At 41.1% G+C, this 12,155-nt stretch overlaps 1 protein-coding gene across 3 annotated transcripts in view, besides 2 other annotated features; it reads right to left on the reverse strand.

The window, feature by feature from the left end:
* KCNIP4 (potassium voltage-gated channel interacting protein 4) overlaps positions 1–10,281 on the reverse strand; it is a 1,220,167-nt gene extending 1,209,886 nt beyond the window's left edge. For all 3 annotated transcript variants that reach the window (NM_147181.4, NM_025221.6, NM_147182.4), the window contains exon 1: positions 10,080–10,281. In NM_147181.4, the coding sequence (NP_671710.1) occupies positions 10,080–10,140 (61 nt within the window). In that variant the 5' untranslated portion in view covers positions 10,141–10,281. The remainder of the gene's footprint in view (positions 1–10,079) is intronic.
* Positions 10,228–10,728: an enhancer, noted in NCBI's record as "H3K4me1 hESC enhancer chr4:21950342-21950842 (GRCh37/hg19 assembly coordinates)". NCBI's record gives its function as "activates a minimal SCP1, AML or CMV promoter by ChIP-STARR-seq in naive H9 embryonic stem cells {active_cell/tissue: H9 hESC(naive)}" and the evidence as "EXISTENCE:reporter gene assay evidence [ECO:0000049][PMID:30033119]".
* Positions 10,729–11,229: an enhancer, noted in NCBI's record as "H3K4me1 hESC enhancer chr4:21950843-21951343 (GRCh37/hg19 assembly coordinates)". NCBI's record gives its function as "activates a minimal SCP1, AML or CMV promoter by ChIP-STARR-seq in primed H9 embryonic stem cells {active_cell/tissue: H9 hESC(primed)}" and the evidence as "EXISTENCE:reporter gene assay evidence [ECO:0000049][PMID:30033119]".

A 12,155-nucleotide genomic window follows, 5' to 3' on the forward strand; every position in this document is an offset into this window, starting at 1 on the left:
CTCTTTTCTACGTAAGGTTTGTGTTGTATTATACATGATTCTGTATTATACACGATTCTGTATTATACACGATTGTGTTGTATATACACGATTCTAAAAAACTACTATCACTCAATAACAAACCATGTGATTATGATAGATTTACTGTGTGTTCCTTCAGCTTATTATTTCACAGAAGACAAGGACTGCACCTACTGATATCCTTCATTAAGAACATACGATGGGGTCCTAGGAAGGTATTTAGCACGTGGCTTTGAAGATGAAATAAACTAACATACGCTGTGTAATTAATACACAATTTGGGTCAAGTAGAATTCTGGGGTAGAGAAGGAAGATATGATTTAAATGTTTAATTCCTATACCTTAAACAATTAACATATCTTTTTATATTCTGAAACTTTTACTAGCACTGTGTCTCTCATATAGGAGGTGATTGATAAACGCATTTTAAATGAATGATTGTTTAATAACATTCTCAAAAATATTTCTAAAACTACACAACACAAATTACATTAAGGCTGAAATTATAACTGTCATTGAGATCTAAAATTTTGCTGTAACAGTAGTTATGGAAGGCCACAATCTCATGCTCAGGGATCCAAGGATAAATAAAGCTATGTCTTAAATTGCAATTCTTCTAACAAGTTAGTTTTACCCTTTTACAGTTTAATCTTCCCATTGTAGTGGTGGTGGACTTTTCATTCTCACTGTTTATTCTGAGAGGTGAACAACAATTTTCAAAGTACTTTTTAATGACTAATTTTCATTTGGAGGTTACATCCATAACTTTAACTAGAGGACTTACAGGGTGTAGCGGAGACTCCTGTACTTAAATTACATCAGAAGTGTTAGTATTTATTACCTTCCAGCTTCCCAGTTTAGATGTGTGCCCTTTCTTAAAAACTATCTTACAACATCTCCATTTTAAAAGATGAGATTTATTCTATAAATCCACAGTAGGAGAATTCCCTCACTCCATGTCCCTGGATATTGTATTTTACAGGTTCTGGCTTCCTTTTTCCATGTTTCTCAATGCCTGGTTCTGCACTCTCATTGTTTTATACTTGTCCCCAAGATTTTCCTCCCCACAACTTTTAAATTAACACAGTGCACCTACGTTTCAGAGTATGTGCCAACTCTCTCAGATATCATGACTTCAGCAGAAAATCCTGATGAAACTGGACCATGAGCGGACAGGGAACAGATAACCACTGCAATAATACTGTGCATCAAAGTAGAAAAGACTCATCTTCAAATTAAAGGGAGTTTATGAAAGTAGATGATATGGAAAAAGTGATTTAAAATTCTTGGAAAGGATGTGAGAAAAGTTGAGCAGAATGTGACTTTCACAAGTGCTTGAAATATTAGATGATGTATAATAATATCCCTAAAATAAGTGATTCCCAAAATTAAGTTTAAAAATTAGAGAAACATCCTATTTAATTTGAAAATTCCTACACCAATTTGAAATGCCTCTGCCTACACCAGAACATCATGTAAATTCCCAATAAGAGACCTGAGCATTTTCAAATTCCTTTAGGATTATCTTTAAACAGAAGTTATAGCTCACTTGAACTCTCCAAGCTTCCAAATCATATGTTTTATGAAAAAGGTACATTTCTTTACAGACTTCCAGTATCAAAGAAGGTTTTTAAAATCTTTAAAATAGCTTAGATAATGTAATGTCTTTAGGTGACTGAAAGATAAACCCATATTACAATTAGAAAAATTGGTAGAGGGTAGGAAGAAATGGAAAATAGAACAAACACAGAACTTCAAGCCCACTTCTTCTCATAGCTTTATTCTATAGGTCCCCAAAGAGTAAAAGGTCAAGTTCAATATCACTGTGTGCTTCCACTTGGACAGGAACAGCACTTATACCAACTGGAAGTAATTTTGCTTTTAAATATCCATCTCACTTCATCCTTAACTCTGTTATGAGAATGAATATTTTAAAATAAACATGTTTAGGCATTTATTTTCTCCTCAACTTGACTATCAATGCCTCATGCATATTCAGTTACTAAATCTTGGATAAACAGTAAGCTCTTTAGAAGTAGACTCTATGTCTCAGTCGTCCCAATACTAAGTAGTTTCTTTGTAAATATTTGCTGAATTGATCTCATTTCATCATTACAGGATCTTTATAAGCTACAAGTAGATATCATTACCACCATTGTACAGAGGAAAAAAGAAAGAAACAGCAACATTAAACTCAATGGCTACTTCATATATTCTCGCCTTTCTAAATTAAATTAAAATTTCTCTAAATTAAACTTCTCTCCAAATTTAACTTGTTCTTAATACTATATCTCACAGAGTTGTTTTATAAATGTCTGTTTGTTAGTTCTATATTATTTTAGTTTTTTTTTCTCAAATTCCCTGTGGACACAAGAAGACTGGAGGATCAGTTCCACTACAGTAGAATGGGTTGGAGTACAACCCTGTATCTTTGCCTTTAGATGTAACTATAAGACACTTTTATTCATGGAGTGAATTACCATATGCAAAGCATGGATAAAAGGTATGGGCTAGGCCATTTTTTAAAGTAGTTTCTCATGCTATCATAATGAATATTCATTAAATTATAAAAAGTTATAACCCAAAATAAAACCCCTGGCAGAATATCTATTTGGAGATGTAGATCGGTTTAAGAGCTACATATGCTATATATACCCAATATTATCATGAAACTCATGAAGACATTTAGAAGTCATGTCTTTTCTTGTAAAAAACAAAATAATAAGATTTTCAGACATCTTATCATATGTAACAATGTACAAACAGCACAACAAAAAAAGACAGATTGTGGGGGAATCGTCATTAGACTGCAGTAGATACTGCTATCAGTCCAATCTGATTTTGATTCTGATCTGGGCTATGATAATGTCACTTCTTAAATAAACTGCTTCACTCAAAAGCTCCTTCAGAATATTAAGAACTGTTGACATCTGGAGATGGAAGTCTATTTTTCCTCCAAAACCTTTTTGTAGTAAAGACCTATTAAAAAAAAAAAAACAGATCTAATTCCCTAAAGACTTTTCATGAGCAGATGTTGTCTGAATACAAAAGGGGACATTTCCCTAAGCCAATACAAATTTCAGGTAACCAAAAAGTTAAAAATTGTTGCTGTAAAATGTTTTGAGGACTCATTTTTACCTAAATAAATAATTGGGGTGGGACAGGTAGAGGGAGAGAAGTTTCTAAAAGGTCAATAACATATCCAAAGGGTATTTAAACTGACAATCTATTTCCAATGAGAGAGCCACTCAACCACACTGGCTGTGTTCGTTTAGGAAGAAAAATCAGCCTTAACATGAGCATGAAGGCCAAATGCTCAATATGGAAAATTCTATATTTATATCCATGTTCAAATTATTCCTTATATTGTCAGAGTGTGTGAAGAGCTTTTATGTTTAAATACTGACAGTCACCCCTTTTTCAGGTTTTCTAATGCTACGTGCATGTGTGCGCATATAGCACAGCCTGTAGTGAAAAGACTGGGCAAGAAGAGGAGATACAGCCACAGCAATGACAGCAAAGGAGCTGAACTTCTGCTTGTCTCAGCCTTGACACACTTTTCACTTCCCACTTACTTCCCTCTCAATACAGCCTGATTTTTCACTGTGAAATCTGATATAAAAGGAAATGCACCTGAGGAAATGGGTGTATATACACTGAATGACATCTCCATGCCTTTTTAAATTTTCCCATTCCTTTCCACATCCACTGCTGTAATGCAAGGATCTATCATCTGATGAGAATAATGGTGGTGGATGTGGTGGTGTAGGCATTCACTCACTGAGGGGAAATTTACAAAGGACCATTTGTGGGGTTAGGGGCCAGGAGATGTGAGGCCCCTCAGACTACTGATGTTGGAGGTGATCATTGATCTGGAAGGGAGTAAGAATGAGGGAATGTCATAGTAACAACACCCAAAGATGACATTGATGACTGCCCTAAATACACAAAAACACTGGGCATCTATTAAGCTCTTTTTCAGAAACACTGTACACTCTGATAGTCATGGTGCTATAGATGCAAGAACATTCACAGTTCAAAGGAGCATTATCTTGATGTCATGTACTGTGCTCATAAACTCAGTCCACTGAATGGAAAGACATGGAGCCAAAAGTCACTTTCAGCCAATGGCTTAACATGCAATCAAATGTGAATTGTAACTTTGGTCTTTGGTGGGTCTACCATGGGACAACGTGATTTAATTCAATCAATATGTTTAAATATCTACTAGTTTTTTGTTTTGTTTTGTTATGTTTTGTTTTTGAGACAGAGTCTCACTCTGTTGCCCAGGCAGGAGTGCAATGGTGCGATCTAGGCTCACTGCAACCTCTGCCTCCTGGGTTCAAGCGATTCTCCCTGCCTCAGCCTCCCAAGTAGCTGGGATTACAGGTGTCTGCCACCACGCCCAGCTAATTTTTGTATTTCTAGTAGAGAACGGGTTTCATCATGTTGGCCAGGCTGGTCTCAAACTCCTGACCTCAGGCGATCTGCCAGCCTCGGCCTCCCAAAGTGCTGAGATTACAAGTGTGAGCCACCATTCCTGGTCTAAATGTCTACTAGTTTGTGAAGCATTGTAGAAGTGCTTACTAGAGGTACAAAAATTAGTAATTCTTGCATGGTACTACTTGCCATCAAAAAGTCAACAGAACATCTGCAAATGAGACAAATTATGTCCAGTGAATTCTGCCTTGTCATTCAGATCTATATCAACAATAAAAGAAAAACAACTTATGAAAATTCAAAGAATAATTATTTGGGGAGGAGTCAGGGAGAAATCAGTAAGCCCGCAAGAGAAGGACACTACATTTCAGATGTGTCTTGATGGATATACAGATTTTCACCAGGCAATGTGAGGGCAGGAAGTTAATTCTAAGCAGTGGGTAAAACAGGAGATATAGCTGGTTATGGTCCCAGCTACTCAGGAGGCTGAGGCAGGAGGATTGCTTGAGGCCAGGAGTTCGAGGCTGCAGTGACCCATAATGGCACCACTGCACTCCAGCCTGGGCAACAGAGTGAGACTCTGATTCAAAAGAAAAGAAAGAAAGAAAAAAGGAGATATGTTTGGAGACCAGGGAACAGTTCAGTTTAGCCAGATCAAGGTGTAGACCCAGCTGCGTCATGATTTTCGTAGGAGCCTTGAAAATCAAGCTAAGGAATTTGTATTTTTGATTCTATAAGTAATGGAGGGGGGCATTAAAAGATTTTGTGCAGGAGAATCTATGACTCAAGTTAGGTTTCAGTAAATTTAGTTGGTTTTGAGTGGGGAGAAGCAGTTAGTGCAAATAGGATGTAACCCTCATGGCCTAGAAAGGATGCTGAGAACATAATCTTGGTGGTAGAAATGGAAATTGAAGGAAGAGACAGATATAAAATACAGAAAGAACCAACAAGTCTTGGTGACTTATTCATCATGATGAGAATACCATAGAGAAGGAGACTCTTGCTTTTTTTTTTTTTTAACAACATGCCTCAAAAAATGTTGCCACGATAATTGTTTTCAGAAGATAGAGCATGTCTTTTTAGACATACTGACTTTAAGGTGCTGGTAAAACTTTCTTATGAGTCTGACGAGCAGAAGAGGAATGGAGCAGACTATACACTCAAGAGATAACTCCCCATCAAAATAAGAATCAAAGCCACACTTTGATTAGGAAGAGAGTATAGAGGGAGAAGATAATTAAAAGACAACCATGTGAAAGGCTGCACAAAATGGGCAAAAAGAGGAAATAAGTGTCATAAAAGGAGATCTGGCTGGGCGCGGTAGCTCACGCCTGTAATCCTAGCACTTTGGGAGGCCGAGGCAGGAGGATCACTTGAGGTCAGGAGTTCAAAACCAGCCTGACCAACGTGGTGAAACGCCATCTCTACTAAAAATACAAAAAGAAAAAAAAAATTAGTCGGGCATGGTGGCGGGTGCACCCGTGATCCTGGCTACTCGGGAGGCTGAGGCAGGAGAAATGCTTGAACCCAAGAGGCAGAGATTGCAGCGAGCCAAGGTCACGCCACTGCACTCCACCCTGGGCAACAGAATGAGACTCCGTCTCAAAAAAAAAAAAAAAAAAAAAAGAGAGATCTGAGAGAAATCAGAGAAAGGAGAATAATTCAGTGCAAGTGGGAAAGGCTTCATTCATTCAATATCTGTTGTTGAGCAAATATTACAAGTCAGACTTCATGCTCAATACTGGGGATAAAGTGGTGGACAGGACAGAATACTTCTGCTCTCACAGAGCTCACAGTCTTCCAACACATGTTGGTAAACAGCATGAAACATCCCAGTGAGTTCAGGACGACACGAATTGAGAAAAGTCCCTCAGGACCTTTAACCAAATGAATACTTTTGGAATGAAATGGGTGCTTCAATGCCCAAGGGTAAATTAATTTATAATAATGGGTGCAGTTATATAATTTTGAAAGATTTTTCAGACTTGCAAAGGATCCTTGAACAAACAAAATACTCATCTCCCCACAACCCCCTCCCTGCCTCACACGTTAATCTACTTGAAATAGTCGCTAAGAAGAGAGGCTATTAAGTAAAAAAACACATTCTGTTATGTATTATTGAAAAGCAATATTATTCACATGTTCTGGAAAAAGTGAGAACACGAAAAATAAATAAAAGGACAAAAAATAGTAAGAAGGGCTTAATAATTTAAGCCCAGAAATATATCTTCAAAACAATCAACCACTACCTGGCCTACAATTCTCCAGAAATCTTGCACACAGATTTTATATTGCATGGCTCATTAATTTCCAAACCATCCACAGCTTTATTTTATGAGAGGGCATAAGCTTCAGGCCTGGGGAGAGAGGGTGGCTGAATTTCAACACTTTGTCCTATCATTTGTTTAGTACACCTCTTACATTTATATGACATAAAGAAAATAAAATAATGATTGTATGATGAAAAGCTTTTCATGGATTCAGAATAAATGGATTTTTCAATATTACCCTTGTGGAATTACTAATTTGAGTTTGCCTTATTTTTAAAACACATGAAACTTAAGCCAAAGCCACGATACATCCATCAAATGGCAATTCAAAATTGAAGACATTTTTTTACTCTACTATTGAAACATACATTTTCCTCATTTTTAGTTGTAGATTACATCACATAACATCTGCCATCTCTAAGTTAGATGGCACAAATTAAGGACACCAATGAATAATTTTGTAGTTTTTTTTTTCCTCTGACCTTGTTTCTGATTCTCTTTCAAACATAGTTGAATTATCATCTCCCTCAGTCTCTCCACTGTTAGCAGGATTACGTTCTGATTTTATAGCAGGAGTGCAAAATATGGGATTAGACAATGAAATGAAAAATGTATTTTGGTCAGGCTTTGGGTTTAACATGGAAGCTGGCAGGGCAAAAGTGAGCACTCTAATTTGTAAGAAACCTTCTCTACTTGTATGTACTTATGCACAACTCACCCATTTTCTGTCCTCTCTGGCATTAACAATGTCAATTACAGTGATTTACAGGTGGTGTTCATCAGTTAGCATACTAGATGCGTTTACTTGTTGAGAAGAGAGTACGGAACGAACTTTTTAAACTAAATTATTATAAAGTTTCAGAATTGCAACTCGACTCTGTTCTGTCATTTCCAACATTTCCTCTCTACTTTCCATTCATGTAGTTTCATCCTTTGCCTTTCAGCAAACCATTTTTCACAGTGTTCTATCTCTAAGTCAGGTCATAAAATACATACACGTACGCACACAGACTCACACTTCTCTAATTCTTGATTTCTCTATCATCCACCTACATTTCTCTCAGTTAGATCTTCCAGTTAAATTTTGCTTAGATTCCAGCTAAATCATCTTATAAACCTCCATTCCAGAGATATATATTCAAGGAAAAACTGTATCATAGTACAAGATAGTTTGGGAGTTATATAAATAGCCTACTTATTGGAAAGAGAACAAGAGATCGGGACTATTATTTTAAAACAAAAATGGAAGACAGAGTTTAAGCCTTTAAAAATCATCCCTTCTCATCCCAGGATTAGTAAAGACCATCCTATATCTGATCACAAGTAAGCAAAGTACTTATGCATATGTTTGGTGAAAATAGTATTACATATTTGGGGATCATTCTCTAATATTAGCTTTGAAGCAATATCAACAAGAATAAAAAAGATAATCCAAACTATTTTTTTCTTTATTCTTCTCATCATATGACAACTAACTAAAAATTTGTGAATACAATTCAAGAAACAGGTGTCAAATCAATTCTCAGCCAGAAAACTCATCACTTTGGTCTCACCTTAGCCAAGGTATAAAACAACATATTTCTGTTCTCTAAATAAACAGTGAACACATGCTGATTCTGGAGATAGCAGTAAAAGGTTTGCTTTTTTAAATGTATAGTACTCCCCAGGTGTGACTTCATCTTCATTTCCCATTTATAGTGATTATGGCCACCCATGACCCTGTGCATAGTCTAGACATGCTGATTCAATCCCCATCCGGTTGATGGAAGAACAGGTACAGTCAAAGAGCTGTGGTCACTGAGGAGCCAAGCAATGCAAGCCATCCAGATCCTGAGACGACATTCCTGCCATCTGCTCCAGCCTTGAGTTCCCTGGGCTGCCGTGTGTGAATGTGTCTCTAATAGGACAGCGCTAGCCCTCTACCCTGTTTATTCTAAAGAACTGCAAAGACAGAGACCCTACGAACTCAACTCAACACCCCAAAACTACTCAGCCCTCTACATTAAACACGCCACTCAGGAAACATTTGATCTCTTAAAGATTGTAAGCATTTCTCACAAGAGATAATCTACTTATGCTTGGCTCGTAATGAGTGGGCATCTCCAGGCATAAGTGAAAACAGAACTAAACACAGTTACAAGTCAAATGTGGGGCTTTACAGGTGATGTTCATATTATTTTTTCCAGTCCAAAAGGATTAAGACTGTTCTCTTTAAAATTTCATATTCAAGTGAGACTAGTGTCCTCCCGGTTACGATGACCTTAACTATTGGAGTGAGGAAAAGAAAGGGAGGGTGTCCATTTCCATTTCTCATGGCCATAAATTCGAATGATTGACTCAAGTTGTTGAGGTGACTCCATTTCCCTGAGTACTAAAGAAGGCAGCAAGTGGAAACACCTCTTTGCTTGCAAGTTTACAGCCCTCGAGTCCAAGTTTTTCACCCTCTAAACCCAAACTATGCTATAGCCATATGTGACCCCTTAGCTTATGTAATCAGGGAGAGGTCCAGCCCTTTATCACTCTCATGTGCCCCAAAATCACTTCCATTCTCTTTCCGGCTCCTGTAAAATACTCTGTACACATCAAAACCACCTAATAACAAATCGATGCAACCCAAGACGCTTTGTGGAAGGGCATCGTCTCCTATTTCTCTATGGATCCCACCAAACAGCAAAACATTTCTCCCTGCTTTCGCAGAACGCACGTTTCTCTGAAAGCCAAGCTCCTAACACAGTGCCCGATACCTTAACAAGGCTGTACTGTATATAAATTATTTGCAAGTGTCACTGAGGACCATTTTCTCTGAACACACTAAACTGAAGCTAGCCATAAAACAAGCCATACGCTCCTGCTTTAGAATCTGACATGGGCAAGATGCCGCCAGTATATTACCAGGGGACAAAAATACAGTTGTAATGAAGAAACGTGTGGGGGCATGAAGGAAAAGTGGAAGGCGAGGATCAATACTATTTCAGCTCATTAATCCCCAGGTGTTAGGGGAAGGAAGCGTGCGGTCTGGAGTCATCTGGCAGATGCATAAACAACCTCGGAAATTTTCAGAGAAGGCAAAAGTACGCACAGGATCGCAGGGGACCCTGCCACCGGCGAGTTTCAAACACACTTCAAACATCTTTTCTTCCCCGACCTGGATCTTGCATGCACCCCCCTCTCCTTTGCACCCCATTCCTGCCGCTCCCACCTCCCCTTCCCAGTCCCGCCAGGTGACTGTGTCTCATGCAGCGAAGGCAACAAGCGTCCCCAGCCGAGGAAGGGAAGGGGCAGCCGTCTTGGCTCGCGAGGGAAGGAGGGCGGAAGCGGGCGCCCGCTCGCAAGCTTATTGCATCCTACCGCCTGTAGAGCTGGCCTCCTCCAGCTGAGCCGAAATGCTTTCCACCCTCCTCACATTCATGTCTAGGGACGCAGGGTGCAGAAGCGAGACTCGAGAGTCCACCGGCCAGGGGCGTCTGTCCACGGGTCTGCACGGGAGCGCACCGCCGCTCGGCCCGGGGGCGTCCGTGGCGCTGGGAGCGAGAGCTTCGGCGGCGGCTGCGGGCAGGGCGCGCGGAGCGGGCTGCAGGTGCGGGCGGAGGCCGGCGGGGGGCGCCGGGGGCGCTGCGCGGCCCTTGGCGGCGGGGGCGCGCGGGGTGGCGGGGGAGGCCGAGGCGCCGGCAGCTTCGCGCCGGCGGCTGGAAGCGGGCGGGCTGCACGGGCGGCTCGAGTGCGGGGACCCCAGCCCCTCGCCCTCGTGAGCGCCGCCCCTGCCACCTGCTGCCAAGTCACCGGACTGGGGATGCGGGGGGCGGGGTGCGGGGAGAGGAAAGCGCCGCGGGTGGCACGGTGCCTCTGGCGACAGAGTAGATGGACCCGAAAGAGACCCGAGGTGACTTCGGGCTGGGCAGGACACCCCCGGGAGTTGCCAGCGGCTCTCAGCGGGCGCCTCTAGGACCCCTTGTCACTGCGAGCAGCGCCTGCTCTGGGGAGGGGCTCGAAGGCGCCGCGCCTTCTCAACGCGCCGCTGCGTCCCCCAGGGGCTCCAACTTGGACAGCTAGACTGGAAATACTGCTGCACAAAGTTAGGCTGAGTTCGAAGGACACCAGAGAGGAAGCGCAAGGAGATGCCCTTCTCCGGAGCCGGGCAGAGCGCCAGAACTCCTAGACGGGAAACTTTCCCCCATTGAAGCTAGAACCGGTCATGCGACTCGGCTAAGTGTGGGGAAACACTGGCTCTAGACTCCAGGTGAACATCGCAGGGCCGAGGTGCAGAATACCACCTTGGAGAGAGGGGGTGGCATAGACTGGTGGCATTTTGGAGAAGCATCCATGTGGGGGGTTTCATTTGAGATCTCCCAGGCAGGTCAACCAGGAGGTATCGCTCACCACCCGCAAGGTCATTTGCCCTTCTAAAGCACAGTAAGGCCGGGAATAGTTGGGAAGGTAAAGAGAAACCAATAGACCACTTGTGGCCATGGTTACTGTTTGAGAAGTCAAAATTAAAATGCAGATTTCTGTGTCCCCAAGAGTCAAGTGCATGAAGCCTCTCTTTTCAGAAGAAAGGTCAAGTTGACCCGTTCTCCAGGCAAACTGAATTAAAATTCCCTCTCACTCTCAGCTGCAAGGTCAGTTGGCCATGACTTGGGTGGAAGCCATTTCTAAGTGTTTGTGAAACTATTTGCCTTCCCTATGGCTGCTGGATTATTTATACACACTGTCACCAAGTGAAATCTTCCCCCTTTCTCCAAGTAGGTCTCAATTGACACCTTATTGCCCTTCTCCCCACCCCCAAACGCACGAGCGATTTACTTAGTCCTTTGAGCCCTTGTAGCATGTATTTGTATATTTCTTGAGAGCCTTTTACTCTTTTAGTTCATTGTTAAGGAGACAGATGCTGACACCCCATTGTCTGGGTTCAAATCCTAGTTCCACTACTTCATAATCCTGTGGCCTGGTACAAATATCAGCTATAACTGGTACCTACATTATTGTTTTGTTGTGAGGATTTAAGAAAATCAATAGATGCAAAGGGCTTAGAGCCGTGACTGGCATGTAGCAATCACTGTATAAAGACAGGCAACCCTGATTCTTGAAGTTGAGAACAATGTTATATTGACAAAGCAATTAGAAAAGTTCCTTGCACATAGTTGGTCTTCACTAAACATTTGTTTTTTCATTATTCAGCAAACATCTAGTAACTACTGTGTACAAGACACAATTATAGGCACTGGGATACCACAGTGAATACAACAAAGACCCTCAGTTATTGGCTGACTATCTAGAAGGCAGAGAGACTGACAATAAATCAAGGAATCAGAAGTGATCTGCTAGGGAGATCACTTTTATATAGGGGGTCCATAAGGGCTTTATGAAAGAGGCAACATTTAATTGGAATCCTGATGAAAGCGAGGAGCTAGCCATGGGCATCTCAAG

This window comes from Homo sapiens, chromosome 4 (genome assembly GCF_000001405.40).
Source record: "Homo sapiens chromosome 4, GRCh38.p14 Primary Assembly".
Lineage (NCBI taxonomy): Eukaryota > Metazoa > Chordata > Mammalia > Primates > Hominidae > Homo > Homo sapiens.